This window comes from Homo sapiens, chromosome 8 (assembly GCF_000001405.40).
Source record: "Homo sapiens chromosome 8, GRCh38.p14 Primary Assembly".
Classification (NCBI taxonomy): Eukaryota; Metazoa; Chordata; class Mammalia; order Primates; family Hominidae; genus Homo; species Homo sapiens.
The window spans coordinates 90,584,553-90,606,832 of record NC_000008.11 but is presented as its reverse complement, the minus strand read 5'-3'; the positions used below and the strand labels follow the sequence as shown (position 1 = coordinate 90,606,832).

The 22,280-nt window shown below is 36.8% G+C and overlaps 1 long non-coding RNA gene across 1 annotated transcript; it reads left to right on the top strand.

The window, feature by feature from the left end:
* Positions 1 to 769: 769 nt before the first annotated feature.
* On the top strand, positions 770 to 14,058 carry LINC01030 (long intergenic non-protein coding RNA 1030). Its single transcript, NR_104062.1, has 3 exons — positions 770 to 1,065; positions 12,862 to 13,001; positions 13,730 to 14,058. It is a non-coding gene; the product is annotated as a long intergenic non-protein coding RNA 1030 (long non-coding RNA).
* The last annotated feature ends 8,222 nt before the right edge of the window (positions 14,059 to 22,280 follow it).

The window sequence follows — 22,280 nt, the reverse complement described above, 5'->3', positions numbered from 1 at the left end:
TTGTTAGAAAAGGGCCTGCTTTTCAGAGACTTGAATTTCTTTACCCTTTACTGTAAATTTCACCTCTTTTGAAGTTTTTAATATAGTTATTATGTCATTGTAAGTGTTAGAAAGTCAGACTGAGTTAACGAGAAAGCAGTAGCTCAGGAATGGGAAAAGATGAAAGAGGTAATGAGAGGTGACAACATGCCAGCAGCCCTCCCTCGCTCTCGGAGCCTCCTCGGCCTCAGCGTCCGCTCTGTCCGCGCTCGAGGAGCCCTTCAGCCCGCCGCTGCGCTGTGGGGGCCCTCTCTCTGGGGCTGGCCTAGGCCGGAGCCGGCTCCCTCTGCTCCTTCTGCTCAGGGAGGTGTGGAGCGGGAGGCGCGGGCGGGAGCCGGGGCTGCGCAAGGCGCTGGCGGGCCAGCGCGGGTTCCAGGTGGGCGCGGGCTCAGCGGGCCTGCACTCCGCACGGCTGGCTGGCGCCTCCTGAGCTTGATCAGTGGTCAAGCTCCCTCTGGGCTGCCAGAGTGCCCAGGCTAGGTGCCGCACAGTCCCCATGGTAAGTGCCAGTGAGAGGTGAAGCCGGCCGGGCTTCTGGGACGGGTGGGGACTTGGAGAACTTTTGTGTCTAGCTAAAGGATTGTAAACGCACCAATCCGTACTCTGTCAAAACGGACCAATCCGCTCTCTGTAAAGTGGACCAATCAACTCTCTGTAAAATGGACCAATCAGCAGGATGTGGGTGGGGCCAGATAAGGGAATAAATCAGGCCGCCCCAGTCAACAGCTGCAACCCGGTAGGTTATCTTACTCAGCTGTGGAAGCTTTGTTCTCTCAGTCTTCTCAGTAAATCTTGCTGCTGCTGACTTTTGGGGTCCGTGCTGCGTATGAGAGCTGTAACACTCACTGCGAAGGTCTGCAGCTTCACTCGTGAAGTCAGTGAGACCACAAACCCACCAGAAGGAAGAAACTCCGGGCACGTCCAACTGCGGACACACCATCTTTAAGAACTGTAACACTCGCCGCGAGGGTCTGTGGCTTCATTCTTGAAGTCAGCGAGACCAAGAACCCAGCAATTCCAGACACGGTAAGACTGTAGTTCTCTCATATTAAAGTCACCTGGAGAACTTTAAAAAAAAAAAAATAGCCTATACCTGGCCATTACCATCAATTAATCATAATCTTTCCAGGTAAGGCTTGGGCGTTGACTTCTATGTAAGAGCTCCAGCTAATTCTGATGCCTAGTAAGAGGGTGAGACTGGAAAACCGCAGAGGAAGGGCTTTTCAGTTAAGATAGGAGTGAGTGAAGCCTACTTAAATACTGAGAGAGATAAACCTTCTATAATTTATATTAGTGTGTTGTAACTCATTGATTAGAGATACCTTTAGCCTATATCACAAGATACTGGTATTATACAAGTAAATGCAGCATTGGTCTGGGAGTTAAGAAACATAATGCATTTTAATTCTCACTCTTGCCAGTTAGCTACATAATTTTGTGCAAGTAAATGATTTCCACATGGGCCGGGGGCGGTGGCTCACGCCTGTAATCCCAGCATTTTGGGAGGCCGAGGTGGGTGGATCACGAGATCAGGAAACCGAGACCATCCTGGCTAACATGGTGAAACTCCATCTCTACTAAAAATACAAAAAATTAGCTGGGCGTGGTGGCGGGTGCCTGTAGTCCCAGCTACTTGGAAGGCTGAGGCAGGAGAATGGCGTGAACCCGGGAGACGGAGCTTGCAGTAAGCCGAGACTGTGCCACTGCACTCCAGCCTGGGCGACAGAGCGAGACTCCATCTCAAAAAAAAAAAAAAAAAAAAAAAAAAAAAAAAAAAAAAAAATTCCACATGTATACAGTGTGGAGGCTGAGATCCTTTACCTAAGGTCCATTTCAGTCTAAATTTGTTTTAGTTTTCAACCACCTTTTTAGCAGAATCATGGCTCTCTAGAACAGGTAACTGATTTGTCCCCGGGGTTAAATATAATTCCAACTCTAATCAATCTTAGGATGCTTTAACATTTTTTCTTTAATTTCCTAAAAAAAAAATCAAAAGATTCATGTGATGAAACACATCTGATACCCTCCTTGGAGAACTGCAGGGCTTAGAGAAAACTCATTCTGTGTTCTCTACCGTCAGCATTTTTATTCCAGTGAAATTTATTTTAAAATTAGTTTAATTTTAGAAAAACATGTTTTAAACCTGAAAGTAATGAAGATTATCTAGTTCAGATTTTTCATGTTGAAAAAAGGGTATTTCCTAGGGTGAGAGAAAGTTAGTGGCAAAGCATTTCAGTATTTCCTTGTCCCATTCTGTGCTTTCCATGCTAGTCAACTCAATGGCAACAGGAGGCCAGCAGAAGCAGTGACAGAACAGCATCCAGCCTGTGTTGCCTTGGTGATACGGGAGGCTCCAGAGCACCTTTAGAACTTCCTAATTTATTGAAAGTTTTACTCCACAACTACTTAAACTACATACAATTTGATTAAAGCTGAATTCTTTAAAAGTATTAAGCTGGGCTGGGCACAGTGGCTCACGCCTGTAATGCCAGCACTTTGGGAGGCCGAGGCGGGCAGATCTCGAGGTCAGGAGATCAAGATTATTCTGGCTAACACGGTGAAACTCCATCTCTACTATAAATACAAAAAATAAGTCGGGTGTGGTGTCACGCGCCTGTAGTCCCAGCTACTCGGGAGGCTGAGGCAGGAGAATCACTTGAACCCAGGAGGCGGAGGTTGCAGTGAACCAAGATCGCGCCACTGCACTCCAGCCTGGGTGATAGAGCGAGACTCCGTCTCAAACAACAACAACAACAAAAATATTAAGTTTTGGAAAATTGCATATCTAATAATAACAAATAGTTTGAGACTCATGGTATATATATATGGGGTGTGTGTGTGTGCGCGTGTGCCACAATTCCTTAGTTTTAAATCTTTGCCATTGAAATAAAAATGAATTTTAGGGTATTTAGTTAGTGATACACAGAAAAGTTTGTTACATGTCAAAGTAGATACACTTTCTACTCAGCAAAAAAAGCAAAATCTTGAAAAATACAGAGACATGTATAAGAAGTAATTGAAAAGAAAGGAAAATTATTCCTAAGGAATAGTTGCAAGCCTTATCATATCTCCTGGCTGTATATATAGGACATTAGGTCAGACATAATTTTTGCTCTAGCATTAGTTTCAAGTTTAAGAAATGATAAAGTTCTGGAGATGCATGTATTCATAATATGCTTTCAGGGTTAAAATGTGTGCTAAACACTTAGGAGCAGATGTTATCAATGGAATTCTTCGAATTTAGCTTACAAACCTTTTGTACTTATTAATTTGATAGACACAATTAGAAACAAAGGATTTATTCAAACAGATCAAAAGAAACAATTGTAATACTATGGAAAGATTGAAGTGTATATAGGAACTACTTTCACTAGTCTTTTAACCTAAGGTTCTGAATTACAGTGCTCAATGAGTTAACTCTGATGTCAGAGAAGTGAAACTTGATTTGGCTTCGGATCACAATTTTTGTGCTACATTCCCCCCCACCACCAAAAGTTATGAAGTGATGATAACATACGCAGACGACCTAAGCTATCCATTATAGACACTTGAGAAACGTGAATTTCTTTCCTCACTGCTTTGCTTTCTTTAAGTGACAGAATTAATGACCATTTCTGCAGGACACACTGTATGGAGGAACATCCAGTGACAAAAGAGGCTCAAATATTTTCACTAAGGTGTAAGAGACCAAATAATTTACAATTACGTGGCCAGGCACGGTGGCTTACGCCTGTAATCCCAGCACTTTGGGAGCCAAGGCGGGTGGATCACCTGTCAGGAGTTTGAGACCGGCCTGGCCAACATGGTGAGACCCGGTCTCTACTAAAAATACAAAAATTATCTGGATGCAGTGGCGCGCATCTGTGGTCCCAACTACTTGGGAGGCTGAGGCTGGAGAATTGCTTGAACCCGGGAGGCAGAGGTTGCAGTGAGCCGAGATCGCGCCACTGTACTCCAGCCTCGGTGACAGAGCAAGACTCCGTCTCGAAACAAACAACAACAAAACAATTACAATTAGTCTTTTTTGAGTGTCAGTTACTCTTGACTAATAAGTTAAGAATTAGCTTGTTTAGGTGCAGCTGTTACCATTTGGTAACACTTGAGTACATTGAATTTCTTGGCTTCATACTTCTGACAAATGAGCTGATTTAATTCGAGGTCTTTTAACCTCTGGATTGATAAAGCATTTTTTTTTTATTTTACTTTAAGTTCTGGAATACATATGCAGAACATGCAGGTTTGTTACATAGGTATACATGTGCCATGGTGGTTTGCTGCACATATCAACCCTTGATAAAGCATTTTTAAATTTTGTAATCAAATTAGAACTACCTTTCTTATTATGATTTACTGTATTTCATATCACCCCTTTAGAATAAAAAAGAAAAAAGATGCCCTATTGCTTTTCTTACAGGGCTTATTATATATTTGTTTTGTATTTAAATGTCTAACTTTTAGTTGGGAATGAGTAGCCAGGACTGTGCCTTTATTGTGAGATGAGAGAGGCCAGTTGAGTCACATCACGTATTGATTTCTTTCAACTTATCCTATCAATGTAGTTTCCTTACAATAAATATTCCAAAGCATTGTTCTTGTTTTTTAATTAACAAAATGATGCAAGGATCATCTGCAATAAAATTTTGTGAAAATGGCCAGGAAAGCTTTAAAATTATAAAGAAGGACTTCCTGTACCAAAATTTAATATGTAAAGTCATGGAAATCAGAAGAAATAGACTAATGGAACCGAAGAGAAAGTCTAGAATGAGACCTAGGTGTACATAGAATATATTATATTTAAAAGGTAATATCAATAAATAGCATTTAGAAAACAATCTTTTGAAAAGTTTAAAGAAAAATCAGAGGTTTAAAACGGGAAAAATTAAATATAACATGCTACTACCAGAATGAAGGGGCATGGATAAATTTAAAATTTTTAACTTGAAAATCCAAGCCTTAATTCCACCTCCATAAAATACTTAATTTATTCTCATCTGTTATTCTATACATACTGTCTAATGCAGAAACACGTGTTTATTACATTTTATATTCCATTTTATTTAGTATTATGCTCTTTCTTAGGTCAGTGTAGTATTTTAAATTACCATTTTAATGGGTATTTTAACAGTCATCTTTTTTTGCAGGTATAGGTAATTCACAGCTAACAGTTTGCGTAAAATACTTTGGAGTTTTTTCTTTTTGTGTACAAGTATATAAAAATATGTTTGTATGCATTTGCTTCACTGACTATAATGGGATTGTGCTATATACATTATTATCTTTAGTTTTTTTTTCAGTGCACAACATATTTTGGAAACAAGATGACCTTTAAAATCACATTATTTACTGTCAACTTCAAAGAAACAAGGTCTGCTGTGATTTTATTTGGAAATCAAATTGTAAAGAAGTTTTTTGTTCTAAATTAATGTCTAGGCTATATTTATAAACCTTCCTACTTTATCTGTTTTGAAGAATGTACTGTTGCATATTATTCTAATTTCTAAAATTCAAAACCTTAATAGTGAAATCAGTAGTAGTATATTGGGTTACTCGATAATATTTACCATTTCACAGAGCAAAACAAGCCAATCTCTTTTCATTTCTTTTCCTTTCTCTGTGTAGCCTGTGCACAATTGCTTTCTCTTTTTCTGGAGTAGACCAGGGACTCCAATTAGGGTTCAGCTGAGGCAGATATATGGAAATAGAATGTTTTATGGAGCTTTAGCGATGCCTACTAAGGTACACTCAAGTTCTCTTGCTTCAACATCCTTGCCTTCTCAGAAGCATTTGTCTTGTTCTCTGTCTTGGTCATTACCATATGGCAGTACCTAGTACATACAGTGCCTGGTACCTAGTAGATATATTATACATTTGTTGACTTGTGAAATAGTAAAATTATTATTACTTTTTACAGTTCAAACGTTAATATTATTTGCTTACTTTATTGGATTTAATAAATATTTAAAAGTGTTGATATTAATCATTTTTCACTTTTAACGTGTTATGTAAATGCCAGGGTATATAATTTAATACTCACAATTATGCTATACTAAGGATGTTGCTTTTTCTGGGTTACTGAAAACAAAAACATTTAATTTCTTGTGAATTTGATAGAAACTTTCTGAATTTTTAAAGTAAATTTATTAAGGAGTGTTATTATAGAATTCAATGTAATAAATATGGTCATTAGGATTTAGAAATTAATTTTCTTGCTTGTACTTTCAGTAGTTCCAGTGTTTGTTTAAAAATCTACTTTTATGTTAGACAATTTTATATTTCACAAAAAGGAGAGGAGTTTATTTTAGATGTATAGACACAGATTTTTAGAAATGAGGAAAAAATACATCAATTACCCTGAAAATATCTCCCCTAAAACAGTATTTTAAAACTGCAAGCATTCTTTGTGGAACTAAAAATTCATATTAATTAAATGGGTTCCAAAGAATCATTATATTTATCAAGATGATTTCTAAGTATGTTTAAATGACACATAGTAATAATTCATATAGATTATATAAATGAATAAATATTGTCCCTTTGCCTTTGTAATAAGAGATATTTTTGTCCTCTGATGATAGAAATAATTTAGTAGAAAGAACATTATGTGATTGGCTTGACACTACTCAATTAAAAATAAATGCTTGATTTTCCTAAACTTAAAAATACCTTTTTCTAATTAGCATGGCTTGTTGCCTCTAAATTTTTATTAAAATTACAAAAAAATGGGTTGGGCATGGTGGCTCATGCCTGCAATCCCAGCACTTTGGAAGGCCAAGGTGGGTGGATCACCTGAGATCAGGAGTTCAAGACCAGCCTGGCTAACATGGTGAAACCCCCGTCTCTACTAAAAATACAAACATTAGCCAGGTATCATGGCGGGCAACTACAATTCCAGCTGTTCAGGAGGCTGAGGCTTCCTTGAACCCATGAGGCAGAGGTTGCAGTGAGCCAAGATCATGCCACTGCATTCCAGCCTGGGCGACAGAGCAAGACTAAGTCTCAAAAAAACAAAAACAAAAAAATAAAAATTACAAAAAATGCACTTATGTTTCCAGGAGAAATTGCTGCATAAATGAGCTGAATATTATTACCGTCATTATATATGTAACTGGGAAGGAATACTGACAATCCAGCCAATATAAAACAAAAAGTCACTGAAATGTTTGGGACTCAGTCAAAGCATATTTGGATAAATTCTATCGAGCATGTCATGTGATATCTCTTGCTTCGGATATATGAACTTATTCCTGTCACTAGAAATAATGACAATAAATGTATCCTAGTATTTTTGCCCAGGTACCTTGATAAATTGATATTGAAAATGTGTCCATCTTGAGTTTTCTTCTTAGGAAAATGCATAAAAATGCTTCTTGAGATTTATATTATTCTAGAGTAGAATTATTTTTTAATTTTATAAAGAAATTTCTTTGCAGCAAATTATCGACGTGAAAACACAGAAAACTCAAAATAATTCTCAGCAGATTTCAGATACTGATTTTATGTTCTAATTTTATCTAGTGGAAAGTAAAGTACTAATTAAATATCCTTCTATCACAGAACATACGAATTCACTAAATGATGCTAATTACACATACAAGGTAGAGATGGAAACTTTGAGAATTAAACTCTATCTAATATTTAAGTATTAACATTCCTTCCATATTAACAACTACTCTGTTTATTTCATATGTTATGGCCCCTTTCATAAGTAAAATTACCTGTTGACTTCATTAAATTTACATTCAATCTTATAAAATTTTCATATTAAGTTGTATTGCAAAGCCCATGTTATTTTAGGTTTACATGCTGGTATGGTCAAAATAAAAAAAAAAAATTTAAATGATTTTTTTTAATGTAGAACATAGAGTTATTTCTGAAATAAGGATCTGTGTTGTGAATCCTGTAAGTTGATTGTTTGCCCATTGAGTTATACTTTCTTAATGTCTGGAGTTATTCTTTGGAAAAATAAATGCCACCATCTAGCTTAGTTGTGACTTTGCTCTCAGGAGAAGAGCACTGAGATTTCCACAGTAACTACGTAGCATTTTCTCTCCTGATCCACCCACTCATCTCCTGGGAAGCTGTGTGCCTTTCTGTTCCACTGCAGCTGATCTGGCTTAACCATAGTCTTTTGGGATAATCCCAGGGTTTGGAACAATGCAACAGGTCATGTTTTTTAAGCTCCAACTCTCCAGGCACTTAAGAGGAATAACCTTAACCATATGAGGTAGACTTTATTAGACCTTTATGGATGAAGCAACTGAAGGGCAGTGAGCTCTAGTGACTGAGAAGTCCTTTAGTTTGATTCTAGAACTGATCTTAGGACCACTATGAAATATGCCTTCCCATTTTCTAGACTAGAGCTTCTCAGCCACGAATGTGCTACAGGTATACCCAGGTACTGATCCCCTCAGCCTTTGACGTTGCTGGACAGGACCTGGAGCCCAGCATTCCAGGTCTCTTCTTCTATCTGTGAGAAGCTTCATCCACTTAGACCAGTGTGCTATACAAAGATGATGGTTTTCTCATGTGCTGTGAAGCAAAAAAGTTTGACAAGCACACACCCTAGAGCAAAGAAAACATTTAGAAATATATTAAATATGTTTTCTAATTTTTAGCTAACATTAAAATAAAATTTCAGATTCAGCAATCCTCTGACAAGGGATAACTCTTATACCTTGTATAATTCTACTTTATTTTGGTTTTTGTCTAAGTATTACATATGAAAAATGGTTTGAGTACAAAGACTTAATTTTTTCCATTGATATTTTGTTATGCTGCATGTCAGTTATTCTTAACTGCTAATTAGGCAACATTTATCCTAGTTAGAGTTAAAATGAAGTCTTTACATCATTAAAATTGAATTCATTTAATTATTATTGATACTTTTTTTTTTACTGTTCTTATGAACTGTCTACTTCCCAATTATCAGAATTGGCAAATGTTTAGGCTTAAATGTTGAAGTACCTAAGGGTGAATGAGGTTAATACGGGAACACTTTGTAAAGAAATGATACTTGCAAGTTTAAAAAAATATGATGGAAAGAATGTGTATACTGTCTTGATAAGGAATGATTTGTGTTGTTCAGGAGCCCTTGAGTAGCACTGAAGTGGTGTTGGAGACTTTATATCACTTAGTACCATTAATGAAGAAAGATAAAATAGTTCAGAATTTCTGACACCAAAGGAACAGCTCAGGAGAACCCAATTGGTAATCCGGATTGGCTTAAATGAGATTGTAGTGACGCACGAACACTTACACTCAAATGTTTTCATTGTGTTTAAAATGATTTTTTTTTTCACAATGCATTAATCATGGAAGCTCATCTGAAAGTGTGTGGTTTGTGGTTTTCCAGATGTCTTCTCAATAGAAGTTTCCAGGTAAAGATAAAACATGTTGCAGATAAATCAAAGAGGAAAAATTCATTTCCTCTTGATTGCAATAGCCAGAGAATGTCCACTTACATACATCTGATCTAGTTTAGTGACTTGCTAGGGACTGTTTAGGGAGCTTTGACTATTGGTGATCTGGTCTGAATACCCGATGACATATGAAATACAAGGCAGGGGGAAGCAAAGAAGGTGACTCAGAGCTTGTAAACCTCATAGACCTAATAAAGTGGGCCATTATCAGGGAAAATATTACCAGGAAGACGAGGTGAATGGATGTGCTGTGAGGTGGAGAGGATGTTGAATTCATTGGGGAGCATGGAGATCTGGAGAAACTAGGGAGAGACCCAAGAGGAGAGTTAATGAAAGCAATCGGAAATTCTTGCTTGGAGTCGTGTGCGGAGATTAGGACTGGAGGTTTAGAGTTAGGGTACTCTACTCATAGGTACTCATAGCAGGAAGGGTGAAAGAGACCTACAAGGAAGAAAGGATAAAGATAAGCTTGATAAAAATAGGCCTCATCACATTACCTGGTTAACCACCTTAACAGGAGGAGAAAGTCAAAAGTTGGGCAGCGAAGGAGACAGGCCAGCTGGCCTCCTTGGTGTTCCTAAACCACCAAGCACAACCCTACTGGGGCCTGCACCTTCCATCCTCAGCCTGCAGTGCTCCTCCCACAGGGGTTGAGGTGCTTCCTTTGTGCTCCCGTAATACTCTATGTTTCTGACACTGCATTTACCAGAATATCATACTTATCTGTTTATGTTCTTGTGTCATAAGAACAAAATTCAGTGATATAAAATATTCATTGAATAAATAAACGGAAGAAATGAAATGAGAAAAGATTGTACTTAAGGCCTCATTTCAGAAATCAAGATCTTGGAGTTCTGATAAAGTGGTCTGATGAAATGTTATTTCAAATAAAATATAATTGGACACCCATTTTGTGCCAACCATTCCTGGAATAAAGGTCAGACATTCTTAGACAATGTCAGCAGGACTCTCTGCATCTCTCAGCTCTGGTGATCTAGGTACTGGCTTCTTTTCAAGCAAGCTCTCTCTAAGTGGCAGCAGATCAACATCTACTTCTTCAAAATGATTCTGTCTCTTGGGGTCACTTGCCTGTCAAGGAGGTAGAGCCCCTGGTGGGACTACCCATGGGAGAAGAAGTGAGTTTGTGAAGCAGGGTGTGATATGGGGCAAAAACAAACTTAACAGAAGTCCATTCTAGAAATCATATAAGAGGCCCTCAGGAAGTGGAGGTGAGAGGATGGCTTAAGCCAGAAGTTCTTGGCTGTAGTGTGCTATGCCAATCCGGGGTCCACATTAAGGTTGGCATCAATATGGTGATTTTCTGGGAGCAGAGTCCCATAAGATTGTCTAAGGAGGAGTGAACTGGCCCAGGTTGAAAAAGAGGCAATCAGGTGCTCATAAGTGGCAGCATGATCTGAAACCAATAGTGGAGGACAGCTAGGGAAATGGAGTGAATTCGCTTTTCTCTTCTTCCCTCTTATTGTCAGAATTACAACTGACTATCAGAGAAAAGGATGCTAGGCCTGGAATTGCCTTTGTTGTATGTTTGAGGTTCCACAGATGAAGGAGAGTTTAAGAAGAGAAAAAGATCAGCTGACAGTAAGGCCACTTGTTGGCATTAGAACATTGAGGCTTGGTGATTTTATTTATTTAAACATTGTTCTTCATTTGATATGAAAAAATAAAAATGAGAGTTTCACCTAAACTTTAAAAAGTTCTATAAAGTCCTAAACATATAATGATAATGATATAGTGTGGGCTTTGCAAATAAACTTAGGTCCAAAGCCTACTCTGCCATTTTCTACCTGTGTAAAGCTTAAGCAGGTAACTTAAGCTTTTGTATCATGTTCTCTGCAGTGCTTAACTTAGGGGTTAAATAACAAAATTCATGAAAAGCACTTAGCATATCATATAGCAGGGCATTCAAGGCTAGTGAATACTATTGGTGGTGTTATTGCTTAAAAATTTTTTATTTTGGGAAAATATACATAACATGAAACTTACAATTTTAACTATTTTAAATGTACGGCTAAGAGACAGTAAGTACATTTACATTGTTGTACCATCATCACGATCATCCATCTTCAGAACATTTTTGCATCCCAAATTGAAACCATATACTCGTTAAACAAATCTTTATTTCTCTCTTCCCTGTACCCTGGTAATCACTATACTAACTCTGTCTCTGTGAATTTGCCTATTCTAAGTACCTCATGTAAATGGAATCATACAATATTTGTCCTTTTGTGTCTAGCTTACTAAGATTTTTTTTGGTAGCAAAGGCTGAGTGAATCCGGACTGGTTAGTCATTGGTTGCCGGGCTTTCTGTACTGCATGGGTCCCAATCCATAAACTTAAATTCTATCATCTTCGTGATAATATCTACTAATTACAGGCATAATGTTCCTAGGAGAAAAGCAGTCTTTATGGCACACACTTTAGGTGTCCAAATATATTTCAACAACATTACAGGAGCAGAACTTTTTTTTAAGAAGACTGTATAAAATCTGAAAACACTTCTGAAAGGTAGCTTTGAAAAATTCTTGGGTACTTTAATTGCAGGTGAGGATAAAAAATTTCAGCCTGTGGATAGCACCCTTTTATTTATCAGCCTCTTGATTCCTCTCCCAAAGTGACTGTATATTGTGCAGTTGGTAAGCAATTAAATAGTTGGCAACACGGTATAAATATTTAAAATTTATTAAAAACTACCAAGGCCTAAATCAAGAGATGTGATTAATTATTCAGGAAAAGTTCTATTTAAAAAAAAAAATGTGCTCACAGATGTGTAGTAATTACACAATCTGTTTCTTTTTATCATGTATATGAGCTAAATGTAATGTTTCCCTGCCTTGAAAGTCTGCATTCCCTCAGTTCTCCATAATGATGCCAATTCATTCATGGAAACAAAGCAAGAGTCATTAAGCTTATAACCATCAGATACCAAGGAAGTTGTTTCTGTAGCAATGAATCAGCCACGTGAAATCTCTTAAGATTTTTACCTCTTTACTCCAGTGACTTATCAATGCAAATAGGCCTCTGTCCATCAACTGGTATGTTTTAAACCTACAACTTAAAAATCAGTTTCTAGTTGGTTCAGCTCCTTCACACTTGGCCTTTCTGATATCCATGGCACAGATTATGATAACTGTTACTACAACCAACAAATGCCACTTCTAACTGCAATTTTTGCTTTCTTTATATAATCTTGGGTGAGCAGTTTATTGTCTCCAAACCTTGGTTGATTCATCTGTAAGACAGGAGGAGAAAGATAGCTTGTGAGAATGAGTAGCACAGTATGTGTACAGGTAAATACTAGATTTAGGAAAGAAATACGTGAACATGTACGTTGTACTTTTCCAGCCTTCTTCCTCCTGGAAACTGTTTCTCTTTTGTCTCCTAGTAACTATATTGTAGCTGCTGGCTCCCATATTTGAGAACTGAAGTTTCCACCTCATTTACCCGTCCACTCTCAAGGCTTTTTCAACCTTGGGCACTCTTCCTGGCATAAGCAAAGACTGCCGCTAGAAACCACTACATTTGGTAATTTAATTACTTTTATCTTATCCATCCATCCCCTTGGCCCTCAGGACTCTGCTCATTTGCAGAGCAAGTTTGACAGCCTCCTATCTGTACCTTTTAATCTAAAAAAAAATGGCATTGATTCAGACAGACATCTGAAAGGACACCGTGATCACCAAGGGAGACAAAAATTCTGTAAGAACAAGAGCAAAAAAAAGTGTTTATAATTTACATTAACCCTGGGCTCTTTATCAGAAAAGGCAATGTTTTGTTTCACATATCCTTTTACTTCTTTGAACAATTATGCTGGTTTATTGAGTACTTACAGTAGCCCAGACACCGTGCTAAGCACCTCACATTATATTATTTAATGTAATACACCCAGGAATCCTAGGAGGTGTAGGTGCTGCTATAACCCATTTTATAAATAAAGAATCAAAGACTTGGGTTAGGTAACTTGCCTAACATCACACAGTAAGTGGCAGAGCTGGATCCAAACCGGACAGACCTGACCCATGGTCTGGCCACTACAGCAGAATATTCAGTGGTATGTTTAAAGGCAGTTACTCAATAAGGGAAAGATAATACTGAACTATTTATTTTATTTAGGAAGCTTATGGAGAGGTTTAAATGATGGTCCTTTTTACTACACATTTTTTTCTTCTTTCCGTCTTTATTTTTCTTTTATTGAGGCCTTTAGTGTTATTTTTTAAATATTAAATCTATCTATTCTTCTCTGTTCCTTGCAGTAAGAAACATAAGGCTTCGAGAAGGCCATACAACTGTACATGTTTGAAATTCCTTGTCCAGGATGTGGTGACATAATACACTGAATCCATTCAAGAGTCAATGGTGATCTCAGTGATGCTTGTGGTTGGAATATTTTTTGTAATGAAAATAGTTAGAATCTGTTGATTAAGTACCTGTTAAGGTGTGCCTTTAAATTAAGAATTAGGAATGCTGCATGCATAATATTATATTTCTTCAAATCAGAAATAAAATATCCCATATGTAGAACTTGTCTATATGAAAAAAAAATCAGGAATCACTTATTAAAATATTTCATGTGGTTTCCAGAGTGGTCCACAAGATTGCCTCTTGGGAGGGTTCTATTTCCTCTATTAGTTTCTGGTTTTGTTTTTTTTTTTTTTTCTTTTCTCATTGTTTTTTATTTTCTATTTTTGTATATATTTTAAAATATACATAAATCTTTTATAATGTGCATAATAGTAATTTATACTTGAAATTATGTACTATTACTATGATGTATGTATCAGGTACAGCTCAAAAACAATTTGTTGATGAAATACATGATCAAAAATGATCTGGAGTGTACTAGTTTATAGATTTGGAATTATAAAGTATTAGGAATTCTTATAAATTTGATAGTTACACTTCTAACTTTTCTAAAATATAACAAGCATTTATTTATTCGTGATCCAACCAACCAGTAGTCCAAATAACCAGAACTTAAAAAAAAAAAAAAAAAAGACTTCTGTAAGAAACAGCTAAATCATAGTACATATATCAGGTGATAAAAGGTCATTTGTAGGACGTGCTGGGTTCATCTCCAGTAAAGTATAATGATGACTGAAAGCCATAACAATGTCCTTGGGGCCTTGCAAAGCTCTTAATTACCCTCTAGTCTAAATTTTCTTAATTGCCTCTAGTTTAAAAGTAAAATTATATATAGTGCCAGTCATTAAGTGATTTTTATTTTTTCAAGTTATTTGCTTGCACTCTCTGTGGCTCCCATTGTCCCTGATATGACCTCCAAGCCCTTCCAGTATCCCGATGGTCCAATCGTACCTGGTTGGTCTCCAGTACTCTCCTCCAAGACTACTTTCACTCCATCTTTAACACATTTCTTGCCTTTGGGCATTTACAGATTCCATTTCCCTTTTCTCAAAGAAAACACCCTTTCCTTGCTTTGCCTGTCTAACTCCTTCCCATGCTTTCAGTCTCAGCTAAAATATTTTCCTTCCCCCAAGTTTAAATGAGTTGCCTCTGCTATGTGTTCCGTGGCATCCTGTAATCTCTTCTCCTTTAACATTTATCACATCACATGTTCAGATGTCTGTCTTCCAGTCCTACATTTGTAACACTCACCTCACATTTTTGCAGATGGGCCTGTCTGGACTCAATTCCCTGGACCCACATTTAGGTGGAGAAATAATGGTGCATGACTGAAGCCTACCTACTCAGGAATTGGGGAAGCTTCTCTGGCCCTTACGTGGTACCGCACACTCTCCCTCATCAGCTGATTTAAGCTTTGTAGACTGTTAATTACATGCTTTGATATCTTCACTTGAATCAATGATTTTGAAGCGGCCTCGTTTGGGGTAAATACCGTAGGTTCGTCCTCTCACGCCAAAGAAATCAAGTACGCAGATACACCAAGAAGTGGGTTCAGGAGGGGAGGTTTAATAGGCAAAAGAAAGAGAAAGGAAAATAGCTGTCTCTCCTGCGAGAGAGAGAGCGCGCGCGCAAAGGTTTTATAGACCGGCTTGAGAAGGTGGTGTCTGAGTGACATGGGGCCCATAGATTGGTTGGACCAGGTGTGACATTTACACAGCACACAGGGAAGCTGGCAGCCCCACCCTAATCATGATGCAAATGGAGTCCTTGCCTGACCTGCAGCCATGTTGTCTGCTCCCTACGGCACACGTGGTTGGCAAGGAAAAGGAAAGATGGAGCTGCCATTTTGAACATGCCTAGTTCCCGGGTAGCCCCTTTCCTATTGGCACAACTGCCAGCATTCGCCTGTGCAAGCTTCTAGCTTACTTATCTGTCTGCAGCTCGATTTTGTGGGCTGTTCTTTGTGAGAAAAGAAATAAGTTTGGAACTGCTTTTCATTAAAAGGGAAACCTTACCAAGGACTTCCTTACCCTATCTGCCCGAATAATTTCTTTTTAATTCCCATCTCAATTTCTTCATTCTTCCTTCCTTTTTCTTTTTCCCTTCTCTTTCTCTTTTCTGGCTTTTCTGTTTATTAGAATGACAGACTAGTCCTGTGAATCCTTCTGGTTTTTCTCCATCTACCTACACTTTATAGAAAATTAATCTTGGTTCTTTAAGCAGTGTCAGCAAAGCATGTGTAGACCCAGCGGCCAGCTGAGAAGTGCTGCTGAGCAGAGAGCCCGCAAGAGAAAGCACTTGGAGCCTGAGAAGAGATGGCGAAGTGGATTTTAGATGGGACAAGATTCTGTAGGATTTTTGACCCTTGAGCTACAATCAGTCTTTTAATACAAATTTCCTCTAATTTGGGAAAGCACTAGGTTTTTTGTTCCCGTAAATTTCGAATCTATTTTTTCCTAAACAAGAAAATGCATTTTCTCTATCTTTATATTCACTTGACTCCAGTGCACGGATGATAGAAATTATGCTGTCAGCAGAATTGTATTTGACTATGAAGGCAAAAACATTGCTGAATTACTTGAAATTCTGTTTTGTTTATGTCCTAATTCAAATATGACTTTGACTTTATTTAATTGCAAGAGATTGTATATTATAGCCACTCTTCAGCCATTTTTCTGGATCGTGAATTCAGATTTATGTTTTATTCCTGTTAGTCGATTTGGAAAGTATTTCATTTAAATTTTTGTTGTGTTGAATATTTCTTTTGTGGATCTGGATTACAGATTTGCTCTGCCCCTCTTTCCCCAGTGCTAACTTAAACAAAATAGATCGTTTAAAAATAGGCACCATCTTCAAGATTTATTTTTACAATAATTTTCTGTTGTTTGTAGGGCTATTGTTGGCTTTAATGTCTTTGCAAGATTGTGCTTTAAATTGTTTGTCAATTTCTTAGTGTACAAAGCTTTGTTTGAAATACTTTAATAAGTAGGAAAAACTCTTTTAACTAGCTGTAAGTGTAACTGTGAATTTTTTTTTTTTTTTTTTTGGTTAAGAGAGAGTCTCTCTCTGTAAGCCAGGCTGGAGTGCATTGGTGTGATCTCAGCTCATTGCAGCCTCCGCCTCAGCCTCCCAAATAGCTGGGATTACAGACATGCGCCACCATGCTCGGCTAATTGTTGTATTTTTAGTAGAGACCAGGTTTCACCATGTTGCCCAGGCTGCTCTTGAACTCCTGACCTCAGGTGATCTACCCACCTTGGCCTCCCAAAGTGCTGGAATTATGGGCATGAGCCACCATGCCTGGCCTTAACTGTGAAATTCTGACTTAAAGATATCTTCACTTGCGTTTAAATGGTTTTTACATGATGAAGTAAACATCCTAAGGCTTTTGTTAGTAGAATTATCATAGTAAATGTCAATAATTTATTTCAATTAAATATACAAATGATTGATTGGAGGACCATGTATATGTGAATCATGTTGCATTTATGAATTAGTGAGTTTATCTTTTCACCAATATAGTGACTTAGTTATCTGATTTGTTTGAAGAGTGATGTCTCATGAGTAATTTTTTAAAGAATAGTTGAAGTAATTCATTTTTTTCAAGTTATACCCTTAAAATCTTTTTTAATGCAGAATATAAGGAATCTAGAAAATACAGATAAACAAAAAGAAAATAATCATCCATAATCCAACTGTCTAGAGACAGCCACTAATTTCCTAATATATATTCTGTTTTTCACTTTCTTTTAATCTAAAATTGTGTGTTGTGTCTATAAAATAAAGTGAAAAAAGCAATAGTGTATAAATAGAATATCTTTGTGAAAAATGAGAGAAAAAGACTACACAAGCAAATTCTTACCAGTTTTTTTTTGATAGAACACTTCCTGATTTTTAATAGTCAAACTTTAAAATACATATTTTTCAAAACTTCTGGAACAATTTTTATAGAGAAAAATACATATTTACATTCTCAAAACTCAATACAAACAATTTTAATAAAACAATGTCAATTGGCCATTGGTATTCTTCAATAAATTGTTTGCTGATAACTTTCACTCATTTTTCTATTAGGTTTTTTGCCTTAGTTCTTGATTTGTAGGAGGAGCTCAATATTTTCTGTCAACTTTTGGCTGTGATTCATGTAGTTCAGCTTTGAACTGCCTTTTACTGCATGGAAATTTACATTATTGTATGTAAACAAATCAGCAAACCAAGTATTTCCTACGTGGCTTCTGAGTTCTGGGTCATACTTGGAAAGGCCATTTTCTCTTCAAGATTATACAAGTATTCACCTCTATTTTCTGGTATATTATACGTGTGTTTATATCTACATATATTATCTATTATATTAAATTTAGATACTTCATACATATGAAATTTGTTTTTTAAATGATTGGGGTTTTTCCCTATATGGCCTAGTTGTCCAAACTTTGCTTTGAAGTCCCACCTTTTTTATAGATGACTTCCCATATACATCTGAGTTTATTTTTGGCCTCTCTGTTCTGTTCCATTGATACATTTATCTATTCTAATATACCAGGGCCAGATTTTTAAATGTCTGTAGCATTATTTTACATTTTTAAATCCAGGAGGACAGCTCCTGTTTTATTATTATTTTATTATTCTTTAAAAAATTTCTTAAGGATACTGGAGTATTTACTCTCTAGCTAAAGTTTTGAATCAATTTGACATTTACTATAGTGAGCTTTCTGATTCAGGAATATGTTATGTTACACCAGTAATCTGAGATTTTTACAGTGTTACTTGAAAAAGTTTTAGAGTTTATTCCTGGATTTTTTTTTTATAAAGAGGATTTCTGGTAAGTGAGGTTTTTTTTTTCTTTTTACAATAAATGTTATTATTTTGATATGTTTGTCATATAGGAAAGTTATTATTTATACTACCTTTTGGGGGACTATCTTATCTAACATACTGTTTCTAAGCAGATGACTTTTGTTACCTGTCCTGTAGACGATTGAGGAGAAAATGATCGGGGAGTGAGCTAAGAAAGGATGCTGAGGTTTTCGCAACCTTGTGTGTCTCTGAAAGTTTACTCAGTAGGCTGTGATTTTGTGTGACCTATTAATGGTTCACAAAAGGAAAATGAGTTGGGTTCCCAATACTCTTGTCCTATCCAGGAAACTCTCAGGACTAGGAAGTGTTGATAACATACCTTTTAAAGCAAATTAACCACTAATTGAAAATAAATTAGAATGTTGGCATTGCATTCTCAAAGGGACAGCAGCGCTCAATTTAAAGCGCTGAAGAAAATGGAAATATGTACTCTCTGTTAAGAATGATTGTATTAAGCAGCACTGATTTGAAATGTTTGCACTGTGATTCAGCATTTTATTAAGGTAGAATTTAAAAAAGTTAATTGACCAGCAACTTGAACCAATTAAACCCATGTTTTATACACAACCATGGGATTACATGGGAAGGTGAAAAATACCAAAGCTCTTTCGAAAGTGAATTCTAACAAATATTTATTTTAGCAGTATTAACCACTAAAATTTTACAGAGCTGTGTAGTTTATGTTACTCTTTATTTGAGGTCATTTAATCCTCATAGAAATCTCTGGAGTTGAAAAAGGAGGTTCTAGTTTTGTTCTTTCTTTGCCCAGGTTAAATGAACTGTCCAAATTTGTATAACTGACTCTCAAATGGTCAAGGGTCTAAATGCAGATACCCTGATGCTTCCACCAGTGTACATTGGAATCCACACTGCTGCCTCCCCTGAGATTCAGCTTATTTTAAATTGAGATATGAAATATTCTGCCTTGCCTTTGCTTGATTGCATAGGTGTGCGGCTGTATCGGATGTTAACATTACATGGGTCAACCAGAGTGTTTCACCAAGCAAGTCTGATGATTGCTTTTCTGCCATGGCCAGTGAAAGATTTCATTAAGTCCTTCCAATGTATATCATTTATTTTTGCTACTCATTGACTTTATGCTGAGCAATTGTTTCTTATATTTTAATTAATTGCAATATAATTCTAAAAGAAAATTCTCACAGTTTTTTTTTTTTTTTTTTGAGACGGAGTCTCACTCTGTGGCCCAGGCTGGAGTGCAGTAGCGCGATCTTGGCTCACTGCAAGCTCCGCCTCCCGGGTTCACGCCATTCTCCTGCCTCAGCCTCCCGGGTAGCTGGGACTACAGGCGCCCGCCACCATGCCCGGCTAATTTTTTTTTTTGTATTTTCAGTAGAGACGGGGTTTCACCATGTTGGCCAGGATGGTCTCAATTTCCTGACCTCGTGATCCGCCCGCCTCGGCCTCCCAAAGTGCTGGGATTACAGGCGTGAGCCACCGTGCCTAGCCAAATTCTCACAGTTTTAACAACCTAAGTTCAATGAGCTTTCAATCTTGCCATTGCGGTATAACTACTTGATGCTGATAAGGATTCAATAATTTTTGGTGAATTTTAGAGTCCACAATATTTTTAAAAACACTTCTGAACTTTCTTTGCATAACAGTCTTTTTTGTGAGGCTCCAAAACTTTTTGAATATTATTTTCCCCATCTCAAATACATCTTCCCAGTGAGAGGGTGTAGGATGAAAGAGGATGGAATATTAGTGGATTATGTTTATCTAAAGTGGTCTGTACTTTTTTTCCAAGGAGTTCCAATGGATATCCTATTGCTGACTGGGGAACATACTTTGAAATAAATGGGCCAAAGGAATTCATTTTCTTTCAAAATTTTTAAAGTTCAAATCTTTTGAGTAGAAGAGCACAGTCTTGACCCATATACATTTATGTTTTTAGTTAATTATATCCTGAACACTTAAAACATTTTTTGAGATCTTGTCATCATCCTTATTTCTAAATATCTCATTTTCTCTCTTCTTGTCTGTTCTTATCCTACTCTATAGATGACCTATCACTTTTTCTTCAGTTCTTCACCAGACCCATAGGACTAACCAATTGATTTAAAGCCATCTGTGTACAACAAAGTATTGGATCAGAGACATGAAAAACTTAAAAGTTTCTTCAAGTTGAGGAATTTTCGATGATAAAAGAATATCTCATTAAGGAAAAACTTTAGGACTCTCTTTTGTTCTGGGTCCTGTCAACTTTAATAATGTGGACTTTGAATAAAAGAATATATGACTTCAAAATTAGTAATCAGAATGAAGTAAATAAATTACCCTTTTTGTGAAACTCAGAAGATTCCACTCAAATAAGGGAAAGTCAGTATTCTGTATACTGTGTTAGTCACTATTTTCAGACCACACGTCAAGGTTTAACATTGCAAACTGTCAACCCAAATTAAGGCTGGGTACAAAGCCTCTTTCCAGACAAGTGACTATAATAAGAGAAGGGAATAAATATCACATTAAAATCCTTTATTTTATTAATTATTATTTTTGAGACATGGTCTCTGTTGCCCAGGCTGGAGTGCAGTGGCATGATCATGGCTCACTACAGCCTCAACTTCCCAGGCTCAGGTGATCTCCCACCTCAGCCTTCCATAGTAGCTGGGACTATAGGCACACACCACCATGTCTGGTGCTAATTTTTTATAGAGACAGGGTTTCACCATGTTGCCCAGGCTGGTCTTGGACTCCTGGGCTTAAGCAATCTGCCTGCTTTGGCCTCCCAAAGTGCTGTGATTACAGGGTGTGAGCCACTAAAATTCTTTATTTTAAATAAAAACTGTGATGCATAAAGTTTTCTAACCAAACCTTTCTTTGTTTCATGCTTATATCTAAAATCCTTTTAGAGATACATTGTCAGGGTATTATGTCTCTAGCACCTCAGGGAAAGTGTTGCCTTATTATAACAAACTAACCTATGTATAAATACATAAAACATTTACTTTTTTTCTATATATCATTCTAGCATCTGTGTAATTTTCTCATTTAGTATTTCTATGAGTTGCTTACTGTTCATTTGGTTGAAGAGTAATATATTACCATAATGAGTCAGAACAGCATATTCGCATATTCCTTTGTTACCAGTAAAGAATTCTCTCAAGGTTTGGTTTCTTAGCATCAGTTTTTGCCTGGTTTTTAGTGTTAACAAGAATGCTTCAGATGCTTTGAGTTTGACTGATGTTAGAAATATTCCAAAAAAGGTTTTAACTGATAATTTGGATATGAATATCTACTCCCTATATTTCTCAACCAATAACATGTGGAACACAGCCACTTTATCAATTAGCATTGAATTGCAGGTTTTTCTTTTCTTCAGAAAAAGTAAACTTAACAATAATTATTCCTGGAAAATATTGGCATTTAATATGTACCTGGAACTATGCTAAAAATCGAATAGCAGAGAATATGTAGCTGCCTCCGAACAGATTCTTTAAAAGATAGATCTTTTTAACAAGAAAAATAGAATGTTATGTTGATGTGATGCTTGTTACGACTATGACAGTGGCAGCAGTGTGAAAATAATAATGTTAAAACCTGGTATCAACCTTGGCTTTAATCACT